Genomic DNA, 22,645 nt, shown 5'->3' with positions numbered 1-22,645 from the left:
AGAAGTGAAGTGCTCAGGTTTTACAGGAAGATAGAGATGGAGAGAAGCGAGGCAAATCTGATTCCAAGTCCAAGACTCTTCCTGGCATTTTCTTTTATTTTTTTATTTTTTTATTTTAAGATGGAGTCTTGCTCTGTCTCCCAGGCTGGAGTGCAGTGGTGCAATCTTGGCTCACCGCAACCTCCGCCTCTCCAGTTCAAGCAATTCTCCTGCCTCATCCTCCCGAGTAGCTGGGATTACAGGCGCCCACCACCACGCCCGGCTAAAATCTTCTTGCAATTGTCTAATGGCTCCGTGTAGCAGGGCTTCTAGCCTCAAGTCATGCAATAGCCTGTTAGTGTTATGCCAGGTACCGAGGGACTCAGAAGCCAGACAACAGGTGAAAAGGCAAGGAACCCAGATTCATTTTTAAATTTTAAAATTTTATATTTATTTTATTTTATGTTTATTTATTTGTTGAGACAGGGTCTCACTTTATCACCCAGGCCAGAGTGCAGTGGTGTGATCTTGGCTCACTGCAGCCTCAACTTCCCAAGCTCAAGCAATCCTCCTGCCTCAGCTCCCCAAGTTCCTGGGACTACAGGCGTGCTCCACTGTGCATGTTAATTTTTGTATTCTTAGTAGAGAATACCAAGCCCAGGCAGAACCCACATTTATTGAGCACCAGTTGGTTCCAGGCATCACACAGACCTTTGGCATTCTCAATCAGTGGCATTCTAACTACAACCCTGCCAAATGACATTATGGTGCCCACTTTGTAGATGTCAGCTAGACACTTAGAGGAGACATTGCTTGCCCAGAGTTGCACAGCAAGCAGATAAACGGATCTGGACCCAGGTTTGCCTGATTTGAAAGCTTATGGTAATTCCACTAAACAGTGCTCTCCTCTGCAAATATTTAATAGCTTTAGTGGGGGTGGGGAGGAAAAAAAAGGGAAAAAATACTCAATAGCCTTAAGCTCTGGTACAAAGTTCTTCTATCTGCATGAATTCAATTTCTCACTCATTCATTCACCAAACACTCACTGAGCCATATACATGCCTTCTCTATAGGGATGTACAGAGGGGATACAGAGATGACATACTTCCAGCTCTCAAAAAAGGGAAACTGGAGGATGAGTTCTGGGTGCTATGAATGATCTCTTTTAATAAAGAGCTTCTCAATAAGAAATAGACCAGGCGCAGTGGCTCATGCCTGTAATCCCAGCACTTTGGGAGGCCGAGGCGGGCCGATCAGCTGAGGTCAGGAGTTTGAGACCTGCCTGGCCAACATATGGTGAAACCCTGTCTCTACTAAAAACAAAAAACAAAACAAAACAAAAATACAAAAATCAGCTGGGCTGTAACACCCTGGGAACAAATCCGAACGTTCCTTCTAAACCAACGCAGGCCGACTCGAGGCTCTAGCAGTCAGTGGAAGACCTCAGCGGAACTGAAGAGGCTTTGCTTTGTTTCCACAGTAAAGGTTTTTGTGGTTACCTCTGCACCACTTGCGATAACGTAATGACGTGTCACACCTGTAGTCCCAGCTACTTGGGAAGCTGAGGCAGGAAATTTGTTTGAACCAAGGAGGTGGAGGTTGCAGTGAGCTGAGATCACGCCACTGCACTCCAGCCTGGGCTGTTTCTCAAAAAAAAGAAAAGAAATGAAATTATTTCACACCCAAGAGATTAGCGAACATTTTAAAGTTTGAGTATCAGATATTGATAGGAATGTTAAGCAACAAAGGTCCCTATTTATTGCTAGTGGGAGTGCCAAATGGTAGTAATTATTATAGCTAACTCATAGCACCTGCTGTGTGCCATACATTGTCCAAAATACTTTATATATAATGACTTCTTTAATCATCATAGCAACTGTGTAAAGTAGGTTTTATTATCACCCTCATTTTGCAAATTAGGAAACCTGGACAGAAAGAGCTGACTTAAGCATTAGACACAGTAGTAGATACAGTGCCTAGGGCCCATGATACTCTTAGGGACCCACAACATTTAAAAATTTATTTTAGGCCGGGCGCAGTGGCTCACACCTGTAATCCCAGCACTTTGGGAGGCCGAGGTGGGCGGATCACCTGAGGTCAGGAGTTCGAGACCAGCCTGGCCAACATGGTGAGACCCTGTATATACTAAAAATACAAAAATTAGCCGGGCATGGTGGCGGGCACCTGTAATCCCAGCTACTCAAGAGGCTGAGGCAGGAGAATCGCTTGAGCCCGGGAGGCAGAGGTTGCAGTGAGCCATGATCATGCCACTGCACTCCAGCCTGGGCGACAGAGTGAGACTCCATCTCAAAAAAAAAAAAATTATTTTAAAATCAAAAGAAAAGAAGGGAAATATAGCTTTGGAAGACCAAGGCAGAAGGATCGCTTAAGGCTAGGAGTTCAAGACCAGCCTGGGCAAGGCAAGACAGCAAGATCCCCATCTCTATAAAAGAAGAAGAAAGGAGGAGGAGGAGATAATTCAGCCTAAGTGGTGTTTATCTTTATTTTATACCAACATATCACAAAATATAATTTCATATATATTTATGAATGAAATGATCATGCTTAGGATCATGTTTAAGTATCTCCTATCCTGCCCTTTCAAGAAAACTATTTAAAGATGTTTCCAAACTCTTCCATGTCTCTTCTCAGTGGTTTGTCACAATGCTTCTACAGTGCTACACAAAAGAAAGAGAAATGGTCCAGAGAAGTGTAGTGACTTATCCAAGGTGATACCACCAGAATGACTAAACGGGGCAGCTAAGAAGAGCCCCGTCCTTGATGCTGCTGAAAACCCCGCGTTTTTGAGCTCTTTCCTCCCAAACATAACATCAGCTTGCGGGTTTTTGCGTCCTCCCAGGACCACCTGTGTTGCTGTTTACTGAATATTTTTCTCCACACTGCCTTTTTTTTTTTTTTTTTTGACAGAGTCTCTGTCACTCAGGCTGCATGCAGTGGCGAGATCATGGCTCACTGCAGCCTCGACCTCCCGGCCTCAAGCGATCCTCCCACCTCAGCCTCCCGAGTAGCTGAGAATACAGGCATGAGCCACCGCACCCGGCCTACACCGACGTTTATAAACTTGGCGTCATTACGTTGTCATGAGCAGTGCAGAGGTAATCACAAAAACGTTTACCGTGGAAACAAAGCAAAGCTTCTTCAGTTCTGCTGAGGTTCCCCTGACAGCCAGAGCCTCGAGTCGGCCTGCGTTGGTTTAGAAGGAACGTTCGGATTTGTTCCCAGGGTGTTACAGGCATCCTAGCGCCACACAGAGCGTACCCTCGGAGGGACAGACAGGTAATTAGAGAGGGAACAACTCACATTCTCCCGGGCTCAGCCGCCACGCCCCGCCCCGCCACGCCCCCTGCTGCACCACGCCCCCTCGCAGCCCCGCACTGCGCCTGCGCAGTAGCTCTTACGCCAGTTCGAGCCCCACCCCCTTTCAGAGCGAACATTGGCCTTGGGGGCGGGGCTTGGGCACAAGATGGCCGCTGCGCGCCCAGAGGCCCAGAGTCGGAGCTCACCGACTCCGGAGTCGCGATCCCAGGAGCCACTGGACCTGGTGCGGGCAAGGAAGGGGCCTGGGCGTGGGGCTCGAGGTGGGAGGAGGTCGTAGTGTGGGGGGCGGGTCCGGGGCGTGGCCTATGAGGGGGTGGGCGAGGGAGGTATTTAGTGCTATGGCCCTGGGGGTGGGGCTTCTTGTGGTTTCGCGAGGGGCGGGGCAGGGGAGGAGACTATGTCATGGTGGGCGGGGTGGGGGAGGGACCTATGGGTGGTGGGCGGGGCCTGGATGGGGGCGGAGTCTGAGGACGGTGTTGTCTTGTGGGACGGGTTTGGGTCCAGGGAAGGGGGCTTACCAGGGATAATTTGCATAATTTGGGTGGAGCCTTGTAAGGGGCGGGGCCTCATAAATTCTAGGGCTAATTCTAGGGTAGAAGGTTGGGAAGGTGACCCTGAAAAACGTGGGGGATTATGATTGGAGCACCTATGTCGGGGTAGGGGATAATTCTTCAAGGGTCTTAGTGATGCTTCTCGAATGCCCAAGGGAGAATTTGGGGGTAGAAGTGGGTGGTCTAGGTGACTTTGGAACTTCCTCCACGTTACCCCACTCAGAATTAGACTAATTGAGGACATTCATTCATTCAACAAACATTTACTGAGCTCCTACTTCGGCTCTGTAAATAGAGAAGTGACCAAGACAGACAAGGGTTGTGTTCTTTTGGAGCCTGCAGTCTCTTGAGAGGAGAGAGACAATAAAGGAGAGTTACTGTGATATGTTCTATAAAGGAAATAAAAATTGAGCCAATTTCTATAAATTGAGCCAAGAGTAGGGGTGGGGCAGCTAAATTTAGACGAGAGAAGTCAGCTGGGTGCCGGCTTATGTTTAAGCTGGGGTCAGAGAGATAAGTGGAGCTACATCGCCACAGATATTATAGTGACGATTTGGGATAAGTCATTTGGAGCCACTGGAGGGTTTTGAGTGCGAAAAATGACTTGATCTGATTTACATTTTCAAAAGACCTTCAGGCTATTCCTGGGAGGTGGGTTACAAGCCAGCAGAAATAGGAACAGAGATGCCCTTGGGTTTTTCAATTTTGGAGGCGCCAAGTGATGGGGCTTTAACTAGGGTGGAGGACAAAAGGTGGGATCCATGATATATTTTGGACAGGAGAGGAAATGTTGATGAGGATACAACAGAATCCTGGAGGATGGGCCGGGCGCGGCGGCTCACGCCTGCAATCCCAGCACTTTAGGAGGCAGAGCCAGAAGGATCTCTTGAGCCCAGTAGTTGGAGACCAGCCTGGGCAACATAGTGGGACTCCCTCTACATTAAAAATAATAATAATAATTTTTGTTTGTTTTGCTGTCTAAGATGGAGTCTTGTTCTGTCGCCTGAGCTGGAGGGCAGTGGCATGATCACATCTCACTGCAACCTCCACCTCCTGGGTTCAAGCGATTCTCGTGTCTTAGTCTCCCGAGTAGCTGGGATTACAGGCAGCAGCCACAACACCTGGCTAATTTTTGCATTTTTAGTAGAAACGGTATTTGCCATGTTGGCCAGGCTGGTTTCGAACTCCTGACCTCAGGTGATCTGCCTACCTCAGCCTCCCAATGTGCTGGTATTACAGGCCTGAGCCACCGTGCCCAGCCAGAAATAATTTTTTTTTAACTAGCTGGATGTGGTGGTGCATGCCTGTAATCCCAGCTACTCAGGGAGATGAAGTGGGAGGATCGCTTGAGCCCAGGAGGTCAAGGTTGCAATGAGCCACGATCGCGCCAGGGCAACAGAGTGAGGCCCTGTCTGAAAATAACAGAGGAGCCCAAGCTTTAATAATTGGGGCGTGCTGGGGCGGTCCTGAGGCAGGTTCCACAGGCTCCTCTTTCTTCTCCTCTTGCCCAGGTCCTGGTGCCTGATGACTGCCGGCCTGGCACACCCCCGAGTGACCTCATCGAGATCCAGGTGGTGAAGGTGACGGACACCACGCTGGTCCCTGAGCCCCCGGAGCCAGGTTCTTTCCACTGTGCCTTGTGCCCTGCTGCCTTCCGGCTGGTTTCCGAGCTGCTGTTCCACGAACATGGCCACTTGGCTGGGGCCGAGGGAGGCGGGCAGGGTGGGGACCCGAGCCGGTGCCACGTGTGCGGCCACAGCTGCCCGGGCCCCGCCAGCCTGCGCGCGCACTACAGCTTGCACACGGGGGAGCGGCCCTACCGCTGCGCGCTCTGCCCCCGCGCCTTCAAGGCCTTGGCGCCCCTGCTCCGGCACCAGCACCGGCACGGGGTGGAGCCGGGCACCTCTCGGAGGCCTCCGGACACAGCGGCCGTTGCAGAACAGAGGCCCGGGGTGGCCCCGGAGAGGGCGGAGGTGGTGATGGCGGCGGCGGCGGCGGGCGCAGCGGTGGGGAAGCCTTTTGCCTGCAGGTTCTGCGCCAAGCCCTTCCGCCGCTCCTCAGACATGCGAGACCACGAGCGCGTGCACACTGGCGAGCGGCCATACCATTGCGGCATCTGCGGCAAGGGCTTCACCCAGTCCTCGGTGCTTAGCGGCCACGCCCGCATCCACACTGGCGAGCGCCCGTTCCGCTGCACGCTCTGCGACCGCACCTTCAACAACTCCTCCAACTTCCGCAAGCACCAGCGCACCCACTTCCACGGGCCGGGGCCGGGGCTGGGAGACTCTGGAGGCCAGCTGGGCTCGTCGGCGGCTGAGGGGTCGGGGAGCGGGTGTGGGGTAGGGGACCCTGCGGAGGAGGGGCGGGGGGAGACCGCGAAGGTGAAGGTGGAGGCCGACCAGTAGGCTGCAGACCAGGGACATGGGTTAGTTAAGGCGGAGGTACGAGGCCGACCCGGGGAGGGGGACGGGGTGGGGAAACGGAGGCAGGGGACAGAAGAGGGGAGATTGGGGGAGAGATGACAGCTGCAGGGATGGTTGTGAGCCGCTAGTGATGGAGAGCAGAGGGAGAGGGCCAGGCTCCAGACTCCCACACGCCCACACAGCACCTCTGCCAGGCCTAGGAGAGGACAGGTGCAGCTCTTGCAGCTCTGCGGGTGTGCGGCCAAAGGCAAGGCCCACGGGCTGGATGTCACTTCCCCGACTGTCTCTTGGTTGGCTTGTCCTTGTGCAAGACCCAGCCTGTCACGACAGAGCCTGGGCACTTCAGAGGAGGAGCCAGGATCGAATGGAAGGGGGGAATTGGGGTCCACCATAGTCTTCTGCTCTGGTCCTCCACGGGTGGACCAGGATGGAGTCTCCTGCCTACCTCACTGCATTGCACTGGACCTGGGATGCCTATCCACCCTCTGGCAGAAGACACTCACCAGGTTATCTGTGAAGAGACTCTGGGATCCCATCACCTCAAAGCCAGAGGGTCCCCAAGTCACCGCTGAGAGCACTTGAGCCTCAAGGATGTAAGCCTGACCATAGGATCTTGACTCCAACAGCGGCAACCCCCACCCCCATTGTGGTCCGTCCTTAACCCATCCACTCTTCTTCGGAGGCAACTGAGAACACATAAAGCAAGCAGCTACCTAGCATCCCCCTCCTAAAGCTTTAGACTCAGAGCCCAGGGTCCCCCACAAGCCTCAAGGTAGCCTCAGGTTTCTCTAATTTCCTCCACTCCCAGTTCGAAGCAAACAGCTTACTGCCTAGTCCCCGCCAATCCCAAGGGCGGGCTGGCTGATGGCAGCATGGTGGGCTGGCCTGGGTGTGGAGTGAAAGAGTCACTGTGGTGGGGGCGAGAGGAGGACTTGGGAGCTGGAGGTGTGACACCTTCAGTTCTGTTCCTATTAAAGGACCTTCTGAAGGGCTTCTCTGTCGGTCTTGTATTCGGATTGTCCGCTTTGGGGAGTTGGGGGAGGAGGGGCCTCACCATGGTTTTGCCACCAGCAGTCAGTTGCATCATCTCTTCCTCCAAGCTTCTGTTTCCCCATCATCAGAATGGGGGGTGAGTAGGCCCCACTGTGGTTACGTGTTATGTGGTTCAGCTGTAGGAGAGGGGGGTCAGGGAAGTTTGGCAAAAGCACACTCAACATGCTTTGCATGCTTGTTGAGTGAGAGCCTCTGATTTGCACACCTTTCTGTTCACCCAGTGGGCCCCATGAGATAACTCACAGGCAACTCACAATGTGAACAGAACTCATTCCATTTTCCTCAAAGAAACCTCCATGCTTCTGATGTCATTGGCACCACCACCCAAGCTGGATACCTGGGCAGGTTTAAACCTTCTTCATCCTCATTCTTATGTCCAGTCCCTTATCAGTTTCCCTCAGTTGAGCCAGTTAATATCTTTGGAACTGGAACGTGTTTTCGGCATCACTACACTTGTAGACCAACAGTGGTCTCACACACAGACAACTGCACAGCAGTCCAGTGCCTGCATTTTTTTTTTTTTTTTTTTTTTTTTTTTTTTTTTTTTTTTTTTTTGAGATGGAGTTTTGCTCTTGTTGCCCAGGCTGGAGTCCAATGGCACAATCTCTGCTCACTGCAACCTCTGCCTCCTGGATTCAAGCACTTCTGCCTCAGCCTCCTGAGTAGCTAGGATTACAGGTGGGCGCCATCACGCTCAGTTCATTTTTGTATTTTTAGTAGAGATGGGGTTTCATCATGTTGGCCAGGCTGGTCTCAAATTCCTTACCTCAGGTGATCTACTCGCCTCGGCCTCCCAAAGTGTTGGGATTACAGGCGTGAGCCACTGCACCCGGCCACCTGCCCTCTTCATTCTCCATATGGCATCCATGCAGATCCTTGTCACCAAGACACAGCTCCTTGTGGCTTTGAGACGATTTGGAAATGTGAATGCCTACAGGAGCTGGGTGAAAATGTAAATACACGAGCAAGACGGCCAGGTTCAAGGGGAAAATATCAGCAACATGAAATAATGGCGATTGCCACCAGGTCTCAGAATTGGTATTCAACAAATTGGAGAGTGCCTCTTCAGAAGAGGGTAATGGCTGCTCAGCTCCGGAACACAGATTGGGTTGCCACATCTTCCAGTTTCTTTCAGAAGTTCCATTAGTTCACATTATGTAAAATCTTTTGATTTCCCAATGTTGGCAGTCAAGTCAAACTTTTTAAAAAATGCACAGACTAAACAAAAATGTGTTAGTGGTCATATTCGGCCTTGCAGCTGCCAGTTTCCAGCCTCTAGCCTATAAAATCACCCAAGCCCCACAGTTTGGAATTCAAGACCCTTCAGGGTTTAGCCCCCAGGAACCCAACCTCCAGCCATACTAATCTGTCTTAAATGCTCCAGAATAGCAGGGTTTAGTTCAACACACTAAACTCTCCGCCTGGAAATCTTTGCCACTTCTTTTTTTTTTTTTTTTTCTTATTTATTTATTTTTTTGAGACAGAGCCTTGCTCTGTCGCCCAGGATGGAGTGCAGTGGCATGATCTCGGCTCACTGCAAGCTCCGCCTTCTGGGTTCATGCCATTCTCCTGCCTCAGCCTCCCGTGTAGCTGGGACTACAGGCGCCTGCCACCTGCTCCCACCACCACACCCGGCTGATTTTTTGTATTTTTAGTAGAGACAGGGTTTCACCGTGTTAGCCAGGATGGTCTGGAGCTCCTGACCTCGTGATCCACCTGCCTCGGCCTCCCAAAGTGCTAGGATTACAGGCATGAGCCACCGTGCCCGGCCTCTTTGCCACTTCTTTACCTGGAAAACTCCAGTTGGTTTATGTCATCGTTCAGGGATCACCTTCTCCCCAAGAAGCTTTTCTAGCCCCCCTTCCACTCTGACAGGTGACTCCTCTGTGCTCCCTCAAGCCCTAGTGATACTTCCAAGTCCCTTACACTGTGAGGCTCCATTTCCATGTTACTGCTGAACCCTGAACCCTGGGGGCACTGGCACAACGTCTGTCTCATGCTGGGTCTTCAGCATTAGAACATGGAGCCACACAGGGTAGCTGCTCTCCCATGGGTCACACAGGACTCACCCAAGCAGCGCTCTTACCTAGTTTCATCTTCAAGTTTCTTTTTTTCCTTTTTTTTTTTTTTTTTTTTTTTTGAGATGGAATCTCGCTCTTGTCGCCTAGGCCGGAGTGCAGTGGCGCAATCTCAGCTCACTGCAACCTCCACCTCCTGGGTTCAAGTGATTCTCCTGCCTCAGCCTCCCGAGTAGCTGGGATTACAGGCACCTGCCATCACGCCCAGCTAATTTTTGTACTTTTAGTAGAAAGGATGGTTCACCATGTTGGCCAGACTGGTCTCGAACTCCTGACCTCAGGTGATCTGCTCGCCTTGGGCTCCCAAAGTACTGGGATTACAGGCATGAGCCACTGCACCTGGCCTCATCTTCAAGTTTCTGTACTGAAGTACTCTGGGACTGAAGTCCAAATTATTTATTTGTTGAGATGGAGTCTCACTCTGTCACCCAGGCTGGATGCAGTGGTGCGATCTCAGCTCACTGCAATCTCTGCCTCCTGAGTTCAAGTGATTCTCCTGCCTCAGCCTCCTGAGTAGCTGGGATTACAGATGCCCACCACCATGTCCAGCTAAGTTTTGTATTCTTAGTAGAGATGGGGTTTCACCACTTTGGCCAGGCTGGTCTCAAACGCCTGACCTCAAGTGATCTGCCCGCCTCGGCCTCCCAAAGTGCTGGGATTACAGGCGTGAACCACCATGCCTGGCCTGGAGTCCAAATTCTGTGGATTTTTGAGATGTCCCTGGAGCACCTTTGTTCTTCAGGACCCCAGGCCCTTCTTCTAACAAATGAGATAACTAAACACACATTGCCAGGCATACATCTTGCTGTTCCCAGAGCCAACATGAGAGCTGTGAACGGGCTTTTGAATCTCCCAATCATTACCCTGGAGGACAAGTGCTAAGAGGGAGCTGTATCATGACCATCAGTCTGCACATGGTTGTGAGGCAGCCACGGCAGCCGGATGGGAGTTCTCTTTTGTGTTACTTGAGGCCAAGGGGCACGTCCAATTCATCTGTTTCCCCAGTGCCCAGCTCAGGGCCTGGCAGGCAGGAGGTCTCCGGAAGTGGTGGTGGAGTGAACAAAGGCTGAAAGCATCCGGAAGGGGAAGAGTCGGGGCATGTTAAGTCAGTTCCTGAGAGCAGACACTTACCTGTCTTGTCCATCTCCATTTGCCCAGCTCAGACTAACGCTGGGAATACAGCAAATCCTCAGTAAGTCCCTGTTGAATGAGAGTGAGTGAGAGACAGAGGCGCCCGGCATCAAAACTGCAGAGGAAACAAGTTTTAACTTTGTGCTTTGCCACCATGTGATCCCCACTCTCCCTGGGTGGGATGCAAGGATGGACTCCAGCGGCCCTCATGGTAAGATTTATTATTCTCCGCTCTGTACAAGCCGCGTCTGCCACCCCGCCCCCCACCCCCCCACCCCAAAAAGCACCCAGCACTCCCTTGTGCCCTCCCAACTCTGCTCATACTCCACTGTCCAGCCAGATTCCAAAGGAGGGGGAGGGGCGGTTCAGACCCATCTCCGCCAAAACTTACTGGGGGCAGAGTGCTGCTGGGGCGGGGGCTGATGCGGGTCACAAACGAGGGTTGGACGGAGGATAGGGTTCAGTGTCTGATGGGATGAGGGGAGGGCAGAGAGGTCGAGGATGGGAGTGATTCAGTCTTGAGCCTGTCGGGCGTGCGCCCTGAAGGTCGCCAGTCCGTGTGAAGTTCTGAAGGATGGGGCAACAGCGAGGAGGGGGGAAGAGTCTGATCAGTCCTGGGAGGTGGGAGTCCAGAAGGGGGCTTTTGATGGGAGTGGGATGGGAACCCCTCGGTCAGGCATCCTTCCCGGCCAAGGTGCCCGCCCCTGCTCCAGGCCCCCCGAGGTTCTCGGCCTTGTGCGCCAGGCGGTGTTTCTTGAGGCCGTAGGTGTTGGCGAAGCCCTCGCCGCAGGAGGAGCAGCGGAAGGGCCGGCCGCCCTGGTGGGCAGCCAGGTGCTTACGGAAGTAGCCGGGATCCTTGAAGGCCTTGAGGCAGGCGGGGCAGCGGAGCTCGGGCCGCGGCGGCTCATGGGCGCGCTGGTGGCGCAGCACGGAGCTCAGGTAGAAGAAGCCCTTGCCGCAGTGCTCACAGCGGTAGGCGCGCTCGCCCAGGTGCAGCCGCTGGTGCTCCAGCAGGTTGGAGCGGTAGCGGAAGGTCTTGCCACAGGCGCTGCAGCGCTGGGGCCGGGCCACAGCGTGCAGCCGCCGGTGCTCTGCCAGGCTGGACGACTGCGCGAAGCGCTTGGCGCACACGCCGCACTTGAAGGCCCGCTCGCCAGTGTGCACCACGCGGTGCTGCCGCAGGTACCAGGAGCGCAGGAAGCCTCGGCCGCACACGCCACATCGGTACGGCCGCTGTTCCGTGTGGCAGCGCTGGTGGCGCATCAGCAGGGCCGCCTCCCAGAAGCGCTTCCCGCACACCGGGCAGCGGAAACCCCGCTTCTGCCGATGGCTGCGGCGGTGTAGGAGCAAGTCGTAGGCGCCCGCGAAGCTCTGGCCGCAGAGGCCGCAGCCCAGGGTCCGTCGCACCAGGTGCACGTACTTGTGAGTCACGAGGCCCAGGAAGTGCTTGAAACTCTGGCCGCACGTGGCACAGCTGAAGCGCTCGGGGCCGGAACTGGCACCCCCGCCAGCACCTGCCACCGCCGCCCCGCCTGCGTCCTCACCCCCAGACACCCCTGCCAGTGCCGCCACGGCCGCCCCCACCTCCCCCGCCAGCCCGTTGTCCAGCACGCTGGCCGCATCCGTGCCGCTGGAGCCGTCCGGGGGCTGCAGGCCGCCGGGTGCGGGCGGGAGCAGGCGCTCGGGGGCGGCCTGGTGGACCAGCTTGTGCCACATGAGGTTCTCGATGAAGCCGAAGGTCTTGCCGCAGGCGTCGCAGCCGTATGGCTTCTCTGCCATGTGGACCTCCTTGTGACTCATGACGTGAAAGAGATCCGGGAAGTGCTCGCCGCAGTCCGAGCAGGCGTAGCTCAGCCCATCGGTGGGCCCTGCAGACGTGCCCGAGGCCCCGGGCCCACAGGCCCCCGGTGTGCCTTGGGTGGAGGGGAGGCCGGCTGCCCCGGCCAGGGCGCAGGGCAGCTGGAGCCGGTGCACCTGGCGGTGGCGGGTGAGGCTCTGCGGGTAGCCGAAGACCTTGCCGCAGAGCTCGCACTTGTAGGGCCGCTCGCGCGTGTGCACCACGTGATGCTTGCTCAAGTGGAAGGATTCGCGGAAGCGCTTCCCACACACGGGGCACTGGTGGGGCTTCTCGCCCGTGTGGATGCGCTCATGGCGCTTCAGGGTCTCGCGGCGCCCGAAGCCGCGCCCGCAGATGCCGCAGCAGAACGTCTTTCCTGGGACGCTGGCGCCCGAGCCTCCCGCCCCGCTGGTCCCCGCGCCGCCGAGCAGCAGCGGGTGGGCGCCCAGGAGCGGGACGGGCACAGCGCCGTACACCACCGCCGCCGCGGCCGCCGCCGCCTTCTCGCTGTCTGTGGTGGGAGGGTCGGGGGGCAGGAGGTACGGGCCCGGGGGGAAGGTGGGCGGGGGCTGCGGGGCCGAGGCCGCCCCGTCCTTGGGCGCCTCCGCAGCGGCAGCGGGCGGGGCGTGGGCGGCCTTGTGGCGGAGCAGGCTCTGCGGAGCCGAGTAGGACTTGCCGCACAGGTCGCAGGGGTACACGGGCCGAGGCCCCCCGGCGCCCGCCCCCGCGTGGGCCGCCTGGTGCTTGAGGAGGTAGGAGGCGTCGCGGAAGGCCTTCCCGCAGATGCCGCAGGGCAGGCGCAGGAGGTCGGCCGAGTGCGTCTTCACGTGGCGCTTCAGACTCTCCCTGCGGTTGAAGCTTTTGCTGCACACGGAGCAGGAGAAGGGCTTCTCGCCCGTGTGGATGATCTGGTGCTGGTGGAGGTGACTGGGCTTCTTGAAAACCTTCCAGCAGAGTGGGCAGGCGAACGGGCCATCGCCACCCCCGGTGGCAGGAGGGGGCACCCCAACACCAGCAGGGGCGGCGCTCCCGTCTGCGGAGGGGGCAGGCGCCACGGGCGTGGCTGGAGGGCCCGAGGACACCGTGGAGGGGGCGGCGGCGGTGGCGGCGCTGGCAGCGGGTGCTGGGAGGCCCAGCGGCGGGAGGTGGGGGCCGGGCTGGGGCGGGCCCCCCGCGGCCGGTGGCACGTCCTTGTGGCAGCGGCGGTGGCGGATGAGGCTGGACACGTGGTTGTAGGTGCGGCCGCAGACGCCGCATTCGTAGGGCCTCTCCCCCGAGTGCACCAGCATGTGCTGGACCAGGTGCGAGGACTGCTTGAAGGACTTCTGGCACACGCCGCAGGGGAAGCGCCGCTCCATCAGGTACTTCAGTCTCCGGAAGTAGCCCTTGTCGTCCTTGGTGGGGTCGCAGGCCGCCGCCGCGGGGGGTCCTGGCGGGGTCTGCGAGGGGGCAGGAAGCGGCCCTGGGGCCCCCGCGGGAGCGCCCAGCCCAGGCGTCACCCCCGGCCCGGACGCGGGCCCTCCTCGCTTCAGGTTCCCAAACAAGTGCTGGTGCCCCGAGAGGTCCACGATGCCCCACTGCGGAGTGGGGAAAGCAGCGTCAAAGAGGGGAGGAGGGGGCGCCCCGAAGGCGGGCGGCAGGGGCGGATCGGGCTTCTTGGCTTGGGAAGAGGAAGAGGACGAAGATGACGACGAGGAGGACGAAGAGGAGGAGGAGGAGGACGAGGACGAGGACGAGGAGGGCACCTCCGCCTTGGGCTTGAAGGTGGACTGGGGCGGGTAGTCATACTGCGGGGGAGGGGGCTGCGGCGGGGGCTGCGGCGGGGGGCCGGGGGCGCAGGGCAGGGCCGCCACCGCCTTGGCGTGTTCCCCATACAGTTCCATGGGCTCGAAGCGCTGGTGGTTGAGGAATTCCAGGAAGTCGAAGGGGTAGCTCTGGAAGTGCACCCCGTCCTCGCCCCCGATGCCGCTGCTCCCGCCACCCCCGGCGCCGCTGCCCGCTGGGTTCGCCTCCATCTCCGGCGGGTGGGAGACGGGAGACCCTGTGAAGAGGAGGACGGGGCTGAGGACACGGCCGCGGCGCTGGGTCTCCCCGCAGGTGAATGGAGCTGTGCGCCCACTCATCCATCCTTGTGCGGATCACCCCCTAGCCTTCCAGATTTAGGCTTCCAGTCCCTCTGCCTGTCCACCCCAAAGGGCAGCCCTTCCTCTTGGCTCCCTGGCCCCAGGACTCTCCTACTCACCTTCACCTTCCCTCTCTGTGTTCTCAACTCCCACCCACTCCCCACCTCTTTTCCTTCTCTAATTCCTTCCATCTCTCCCCATCTTTTCTGGGGTCCTGACACAGCTTTGTAGAGGGGACCCTCTCCTCCACACCACCTGCAGGCCCTCTATTATTTGTAGAAACGGGGTTTTGCTTTGTTGCCCAGGCTGGTCTGAAACTCCTGGACTCACGCCATCCTCCAGCCTCCACCTCCCAAAGTGCTGGGTGATTACAGATGTGAGCCAGCGCGCTGGCCTGGGCCGTCTCTACTTTCTCTCCTTTTCAGACTCCAATTGTCCAAGCATCCTGGGGGCCTCTGGACTCAGTTTTCTTTCCAAACCCTCTCAGACCCTCTGCTGTCTCTCCATACTCCTGCACCCTACCCCACCCACAGCCCTCCGTCCTCATCCCTTCAGGTTTTATCCTAAAATGAGCATAATGATAAGGGGAATCACAGTTTCTATCAGCGTAATTAGGAGGGAGGACTCTGGGGCCAGAATCAAATGTAAGCCCTGCCACTTCTAGCTGTGTGGCCACGGGCAAGTGACTGAACCTCTCTGTGCCTCCATTTCCTCATCTACACCTGGGGACCACAAAGCACATGCCTACCTCACAGGACTGTGAGGATTCAACACACACATATGTGCAAGGCTCTTAGGGGGCGGTTCCTGGCACTCTGTAAGCACTCCGTACATAGAAGGTATGGACTGGGCACAGTGGCTGACAGCTGTCATCCCAGCACTTTGGGAGGCTGAGGCAGGAGAGCTGCTTGAGCCCGGGAGGTGAAGGCTACAATGAGCTGTGATCACATCACTGTACTCCAGCCTGGGTGACAGAGCAAGACCTTGGCTCTAAAAACTAAAATTAAAAAATTGAAGATACGATACTGTTATCACTGTTACTACTAGTAGTAGAAATGGGGAAGTCAGGACAAGCCTAGAGAACTGAAAAAAGTCAGTATGGGGAGTGCACTCTTTTAATATTAATAGACAGTAGAAAGGAGAATTTGCTTGCCTGGGAGAAACAAATTCCAGCAAGGGGGCTGGCATATAGTCAGAAGGTGGTCTGATACAATCAAAACACAGACCCTGGGCTTGGACAGACCTGGGTTCAAATCCCATCTCCACTGGGATCCACACTTTCTCCATGTTTAAAATGGGGGAACCCCTATACCGCAGGGAGATTCAACAGGGTTGGAACAGAACATAATGAAACACATGCATCAGCAGAATGCATTCAACCCCCTGAGCTATTTGTACCATCCATGACATCACACACCTGGGCTAAGCCTAGCAACAGAAGCAGGGAGCTTGAGTTCCATCCTTGCCCTTAGTGGGGCTTCTCCTGACCCCCCCATGTCCTTGCCCTTAGTGGGGCTTCTCCTGACCCTCCACCCCCGGCATCATTCTCTGGCACCTCCTTTACACGACTTTTCATTCCAGATGGCAGGTATCCATGTGTGTACCCCACACCACACCAGACCCTCAGCACCCGTAACTGATCTCCGAGTTCTTGGTCTACTTGCTGGCCTGGGGAAGCACCTCCACCAAGTGGGCGGAGGGTGAGTCGGTGAAGGGCCCATGAGGTCTGACCCGCTTCCTGTCCATCATCCCTACCCGATGGGGGCCAGGCTCTAAGCCCAGCCCGCTATGGGGGTCAAGGGGGTTCCTACCAAGGCCTGGACCCTTTATCCTCTATCCATCGGGCTGCTCTCTCCTCCCACAGGTGAGGGGTGAGTGTCTCTTCCACCCCCACCCCAAACGCCATCCTGGAGTGAGATATTTTTAGTCTCCAGCTCCGGGTGTCCTTGTCCTTGGACAAGACTCAACATCCCATGCCCTTCACACCCCCTCCGTTTAATCTGATCTCCGGAAAGAGGACAGGCTTGGCTGGGGTGGTAATTGGAAGGCTGTAGGTGGAACCTAAGTTGGGGAGACAGCTCTGGAGGGGGCTGACTGGCCAGGGAGGCAAACACAGGCCATAAGGATGCAGGGAATAGGGGGTGATTTAGGGCGCTATGGGGAGGGAGGGCAAGAGTGTTTGGGGAAAGAAGCCCCTGACTAGCTTGTCTCCACTAGAGCACAGGTTAATCGTAGCTGTCACTGACTGGACATCTCCTAGAGGCCCGCCACGGTTCTAAGCACGTTACACATATTAATTCACTGACTCCCCACAACTCTAAATAGGGGCAGCTGTTCCCGCCGTTGGATAAATTAGAAAACTAAGGCATGGAGAGGCAAAGTGAGTTGCCATGGTCACGGAGTAGGAGTCTGGATCAATGGGCTTGAACCCCATTCCCACCCTTGCCCCCACAGCAGTGTTTCACTGGGCTGTTCCCCGAGTGAACAAAGGTGAGGGGAGAACTATCAGGATAAGAGCTTTATTTAGGGATGTCTTCTGGGTTATGAGGGGTGTCTATACAAGGGGCCTGGTGGGAGAGGGTGGTGGTTACTTTCTCTTCTGCCTACAGTGTTCTTCGCCAGATTTCAACAAGACTCCCTCTGGAGCCTCCTTGGGTCTCTACTCAGCACTCCCCACCCCATCACTCTCCAGTCCCTCATCCAGCCGCAGGTGTTTCATTATAGTTATTGCCACCAACTCATGTCATTCCTTTTCTGTGTGTTTACTGTTTGGCCCCTCTCTAGGAAAGCAAGGACTTGGCCTGTCTTGCTCGCCCCTGTGACCCCAGCACTTAGCGTAGCACTGGCCCAGTGTGGGTGCTTGACAAATATCTGCTGGTATGTGAAAAGGAAACACCACCTTCCTAAATTACCAATGGGTCCACAAAGAAATCATACATTAGAAAATGCTGGCCAGGTGCGGTGGCCCACACCTGTAATCCCGGCACTTTGGGAGGCCAAGGCAGGAGGATCACCTGAGGTTAGGAGTTCGACACCAGTCTGGCCTACATGGCGAAACCCCGTCTCTACTAAAAATACAAAAATTAGCCAGGCTTGGTGGTGGGCGCCTGTAATCCCAGCTACTTGGGAGGCTGAGGCAGGAGAATCGCTTGAACTCGGGAGGTGGAGGTTGCAGTGAGCTGAGATCGTGCCACTGCACTCCAGCCTGGGCAACAAGAGCGCGACTCCATCTCAAAAACACAAACAAACAAAAAGCAAAAAAACTGCTTAGCAATTAATGAAAATGAAAACACAACATACCAAAGCTGAGGAGGTGCAGCCAAAGCAATGCTCAGAGGGAAATGCACAGCTGTGAATGTCTATCTTGGTATTTGTGGAATGAACAAAGCGATGAGACTAAGCTGATCAAACTCCCAGAGGAACGGAGGGGGACATGTAGCAGAAATGGAGCTAAATGATCCCAGGAATTCCTGGGAGAAGCAATTCTGGGGACAGTGATGTTATGAGGAGGGCACTGAGGGCAGGGTGTGGAGATGCTGAAGGGGATACATCAGTGGTGGACAGAATTGATCAGGCTTATGATAATCTCCACTAGGAAACCAGAAACATTCCCTCTTTCATACAACTCAAGCCTAAACTGGTATCTTTTTAAGAGGGGATGTCATAGGAGGGTTTTATGCAGAGAGAAGCATGATGGGGAGGGACCCACCCCTCCACCACCACCACCAAGGGACAGGAGTCCCACAGCAAGTGTATTAACGGTTCACATTTATTGTTTGACCAGTTTGATATTTGTTATTGCCTGGAGGCAGCACAGTCCTGTACCATGACTGGGCCCATCTTATAAGTGGGGAAACTGAGGAGCAGCATGGGGAAGGCATTCCTCCAAGGTCATGTGGCCAATAAAGAGGAAAGCAGGTAACTGATTCCAGGTCTTTCTGATGCCAGACTGTGGGCCGTTCTGCTGCAACAACGCTGCCTTGTGATGAAATTCTGGTTTGTTAATAAAGAGTAACGTGCGCATATAACACTGGATGTGTGCTTTCTACCAGCCCAGCACTCTTGTAACTCTGATGTGTGTGAGCTCAACGAATCCTCCCAGTAACCCTAGAAGATGGTTACAAGCATTGACTCTGAAATACAAAGGAAGAGACTGAGGGCCAGAGAGATAAATTAAACTTCCAAAGTCAGGCCAGGCATGGTGGCTCATGCCTGTAATGCCAGCACTTTGGGAGGCCGAGGTGGGTGGATCAACTATAGTCAGGAGTTCGAGACTAGCCTGGCCAATATATAGTGAAACCCCGTCTCTACTAAAAATAAAAAAATTAGCCGGGTGTGGTGGTGCACACCTGTAGTTCCAGCTAGTGGGGAAGCTGAGGCAGGATAATTGCTTGAACCCAGGACACAGAGGTTGCAGTGAGCTCACGCCACTGCACTCCAGCCTGGGTGACAGAGTGAGACTCTGTTTCTCAAAAACAAACAAACAAACTTCTAAAGTCACATTGTTAACTAGTGGCAGGGCCAGTGGTTGAAGAAAGGCAGCAAGGCTCCAGAGTCCCATCACATGCTGTCTTTCGGTATTTCTCCCTCCAAAATGAAGGAGGACCCCCGCCCCCAATCCCACTTCATACTGGAAACATGCATTGCTCCACCCATCTCCCTGCCAACAAATCCCAAGTCTCTTGGCTTGACCCAAGACCAGAACAAGTCACCAACATTTGTTGACCTCTAACAAGCATTGTACTTAGGTGCCTTATGTGGCTTGTTTCATTCAAACTTCACAACAAATGTGTTATTATTATTCCCATTTTACTGACAGGAGGACTATAACCAAAGCATGTCTATCCTCGGTCCCAAACCAAACAGTAACCCCATCTCATTCAAAAGCCACAGTCCTGACTGGGCACGGTGGCTCACGCCTGTAATCCCAGCATTTTTGGAGGCCAAGGCAGGCGGATCACCTGAGGTCGGGAGTTTGAGACCAGCCTGACCAACATGGAGAAACCCCATCTCTACTAAAAATACAAAATTAGCTGGGCGTGGTGGCACATGCCTGTAATCCCAGCTACTCGGGAGGCTGAGGCAGGAGAATCACTTGAACCCGGGAGGCGGAGGTTGCAGCGAGCTAAGATCACACCACTGCACTCCAGCCTGGGCAACAAGAGCGAAACTCCTTTTCAAAAAAAAAAAAAAAAAAAGCCACAGTCCTTACAATGACCTCCACAGTCTCCTGGCTGCTCTTCCCATGTGCCCACTCTATTCCTGCTGCAGGGCCTTTGCGCTGGCTGTTGCTGTTGCCTGTAATATTCTGACTCTCAGGCAACCATCTCGCTCACCCCTTCACCTCCTCCCCATCTTTGGTCAACTGTCTTCTCAATGAGCCTCTCAGTAACCAATGACCTGTCACCCAGGCCCACATCCTCATCTCCCTAACCCTGCTTCATTTCTCTCCTTACTGCTCAGCATCATTTATAACCTCACATAATCTACTTCTTTGCCTTGATTTTGTTGGTCTCCCCATCCAGATGATCGGCTTCCTGAAGGCAAGGATTTTTATCTCTTGCTCACTGTTCCATCCCCAGGACCTACAACAGTTCCTGGCTTGATACATTTTTGTTTGAAGAAGTGAATGAATGAGGCTAGGAAAGGAGGGAGTGATTTGCTCAAAGCTGTGAACCCTAGTGGAATCCAGGGCTCATCCTCCCAATCACTTCGCTCCTGGGGTTAGGGCGCTGTTAAGAGCAGCCCCCAAGTGGGCCACAGTTGTCCAGGAGAAGGGGAATTTTTACTCTTGTATAACTTTTTGGTGTGTGGCTTTTGGGAGGGACAAGATGACAAGACATAGGAAAATCCTGGGGGAGGCCATCCTGAACCACAGCCCCCCAGGTCTATCTCTTTATCCCGTGATATTCTGAACACGCACATATACTCTTGGTTTTTGTTTTTATTTTTTTTCACTGCAGCCTCGAACTCCTGGGCTCAAGCAGCCCTCCCACCTCAGCCTCCTGAATAGCTGGGGACTACAGGTGCCCACCAACCACACCCAGCTTTTTTTTTTTTTTTTTTTTTTTCCTGTAAAGACAGGGTCTCACTATGTTGCCGAGGTTGGTCTTGAACTCCTGGCCTCCAGCGATCCTCCCACTTTGGCCTTCCCAACTGCTGGGATTACAGGCATGAGCCACCTCGCCTGGCCTGTATTTTGTCTTTTAATCATCTGCCCCCTCAACTAGCATATCCACTCCATGAGGACAGGGATTCTTGTCTATTTTGTTCTCTGTTGTACCCCCAATGTAAAGTAGGTGCTCATTAAACAGTTGTTCAACCAGTGTTTACGAATGAACGTATGAATGAATGAAGAACATTCTGGGCTCGGTAGAGCTGACAAAGGCTAGATAATTTATCCCAGTGCCCTCACCTCCAAAGCCTTTTGAGACCAAAGCTTCCTTCCTCTTGTTCTTGCCTTCAAATCTTCCACTCCACCCTCACCGGCCTCCCCTGCTGCTCCTCCACTCACCGTGCTCACCGCCACTTCAGGGCCTTTGCACTTGTTGTTCTTGCTGCCTGCTCACCCAGATCTTTGCATGGCTAAGCTGCCACTTGTAATTCAGCTTTCACCTCTAAAGTAGTTCATCAGGCTCTCAGAGAACCCACAAAACCCCGTGTATCTTTGTCGACTCGTGTCTGATCAACTAGACTGTGAGACCCCGCACAGTGAGAACACTGTGTGTATCGACCCCCTTCGTGGCTGTATATTATACCCTTCAGCTAGAATAGTGAATATGCGTTCAACGCAGAAGGAATGCCTACGAGAAAAGAAGTCACACCCTAGTGAAGTCCAGGGTCTTCCCTAGGGAGTCCAGGACGATAGCCTGAGAGCTGGGTGAGAAGCTGCAGGTCAGGGCAACAGTTGTTCACGCCATAGGAAGAGGATGAGGCACATTCTGGGAAGGAAGGCTTCACCGCCTCACTGCGGGACACTGTTCTGTGGCAGAAGTAATGAAGACGGGCTGACCGCGATGAGGGTGGGGTGAGAGGAGGTACGGGAGTATGTCATGGGAGCCTGGAGCTAAGCAGGCGGATATTTCTACCTGAGGCGGGAGAGGATGTGAGTGTGAAGGAACTCTAGAGGGAGCTGTGCCGCTGCGATGGGGGGGTGGCTTTGAAAGGGGCATTCTTAAGGGGAATCACTGGAGGACCTGCAGAAGGGAAAAAGGCATTCTTGGTGCTGACCAGAATAGAAAGTATTTTCACACCCACGAAGGGGCGTTCTGCTGGGGAGGGAGGTGGTCAGGGCCATTGGGGGCTGTTGCTGTATGGACAGAGATAACGGGGGACAGTTCTGCTGCAAGGCACTAAGGAAACACTCTGGGGAGAATTATATAGAGGATACTAATAAGAGGGTTCACGAGCAGCTGCCCTACATGGGGAGGGGCAATGCTGATGGCATCTGGAGGCTGACCTGGAGGAAGCAATGACGGGGAGCGCTATGTGGAGGGGATCCTACGAGGAGGTATCATTTGGGGGCCCTGGCAGCCGTTTAGGGGATCGCCACGAATGAAAGCGCTTTGGCAGCCATCCTAGCTGGGGGCGTTCATGGGGGAGCTATCTGCAGTGATCCTACCGGGGAGCAGTGATTGGGGGTCCCTTGGCAAGGGCCCGGCGGGAGCTGCACTGACTTGCTAGGGGTTGGGGGACGTTCTGGGGACCACAGCGGGCCAGGGCGGGGCCCCCCGCCCCCGCTGCACCCGGGCCCCCGGGCCACGCACCCCGTCACTCACCGGCGCCGGGGTCTCCGCCGGGAGGAGGCCGAGGAGGCGGAGGAGGCGCCGCCGCTCCGGGGAGACCCGAGGGCCCGACCGGAAGTGCCGCCCCCTCCCCCCTCCCCGGCAGCCCCGCACCGCCCGCCTGCCCGCCCGCCCGGAAGCGGAAGTCGCGCCCGTTCCCGAGGCGCCGGCGTGGAGGATCGGAAAGAGGAGGCGGTGGCGGGGACCAGGAGGGGGGAAATGCGCTTGCGCACTGACTCGGGGACGCGAGCAGTGAAAGCCCGGGCCGATTCCGGTGGGCGAACTGAGCCAGGTGCGCCTGCGCTTTGAATGCCCGCCTCTTCTACGGGAACCCCGCGACACGCTCT

General features: G+C 55.1%; 2 protein-coding genes across 2 annotated transcripts, besides 6 other annotated features; one reads left to right on the top strand and one right to left on the bottom strand.

Annotated features, from left to right (window-relative positions):
- Positions 2,979-3,478: an enhancer, noted in NCBI's record as "H3K27ac hESC enhancer chr19:56135913-56136412 (GRCh37/hg19 assembly coordinates)". NCBI's record gives its function as "activates a minimal SCP1, AML or CMV promoter by ChIP-STARR-seq in primed H9 embryonic stem cells {active_cell/tissue: H9 hESC(primed)}" and the evidence as "EXISTENCE:reporter gene assay evidence [ECO:0000049][PMID:30033119]".
- Positions 3,079-3,228: an enhancer, noted in NCBI's record as "active region_15099". NCBI's record gives its function as "activates an Ori minimal core promoter by ATAC-STARR-seq in GM12878 lymphoblastoid cells {active_cell/tissue: GM12878}" and the evidence as "EXISTENCE:reporter gene assay evidence [ECO:0000049][PMID:35858748]".
- Positions 3,299-3,358: a silencer, noted in NCBI's record as "silent region_11050". NCBI's record gives its function as "represses an Ori minimal core promoter by ATAC-STARR-seq in GM12878 lymphoblastoid cells {active_cell/tissue: GM12878}" and the evidence as "EXISTENCE:reporter gene assay evidence [ECO:0000049][PMID:35858748]".
- Positions 3,429-3,478: a silencer, noted in NCBI's record as "silent region_11049". NCBI's record gives its function as "represses an Ori minimal core promoter by ATAC-STARR-seq in GM12878 lymphoblastoid cells {active_cell/tissue: GM12878}" and the evidence as "EXISTENCE:reporter gene assay evidence [ECO:0000049][PMID:35858748]".
- On the top strand, positions 3,459-7,284 carry ZNF784 (zinc finger protein 784). The gene is made up of 2 exons (NM_203374.2): positions 3,459-3,541; positions 5,381-7,284. Exons 1-2 carry the CDS (start codon positions 3,464-3,466, stop codon positions 6,272-6,274), a joined length of 972 nt encoding a protein of 323 aa, NP_976308.1. The 5' UTR covers positions 3,459-3,463; the 3' UTR covers positions 6,275-7,284.
- A 3,471-nt stretch (positions 7,285-10,755) lies between these two features.
- ZNF865 (zinc finger protein 865) lies at positions 10,756-22,378 on the bottom strand. Its single transcript, NM_001195605.2, has 2 exons — positions 22,293-22,378; positions 10,756-14,432 (listed from the first exon to the last, which is right to left on the bottom strand). Exon 2 carries the CDS (start codon positions 14,404-14,406, stop codon positions 11,227-11,229), a length of 3,180 nt encoding a protein of 1,059 aa, NP_001182534.1. The 5' UTR covers positions 14,407-14,432; positions 22,293-22,378; the 3' UTR covers positions 10,756-11,226.
- Positions 15,431-15,550: an enhancer, noted in NCBI's record as "active region_15098". NCBI's record gives its function as "activates an Ori minimal core promoter by ATAC-STARR-seq in GM12878 lymphoblastoid cells {active_cell/tissue: GM12878}" and the evidence as "EXISTENCE:reporter gene assay evidence [ECO:0000049][PMID:35858748]".
- Positions 22,110-22,609: a silencer, noted in NCBI's record as "silent region_11048". NCBI's record gives its function as "represses an Ori minimal core promoter by ATAC-STARR-seq in GM12878 lymphoblastoid cells {active_cell/tissue: GM12878}" and the evidence as "EXISTENCE:reporter gene assay evidence [ECO:0000049][PMID:35858748]".

The sequence above is a fragment of the Homo sapiens genome, chromosome 19, assembly GCF_000001405.40.
Source record: "Homo sapiens chromosome 19, GRCh38.p14 Primary Assembly".
NCBI classification, from domain to species: domain Eukaryota; kingdom Metazoa; phylum Chordata; class Mammalia; order Primates; family Hominidae; genus Homo; species Homo sapiens.
The sequence above is the reverse complement of the archived record's forward strand: the minus strand, read 5'-3'. Positions and strand labels throughout refer to the sequence as shown.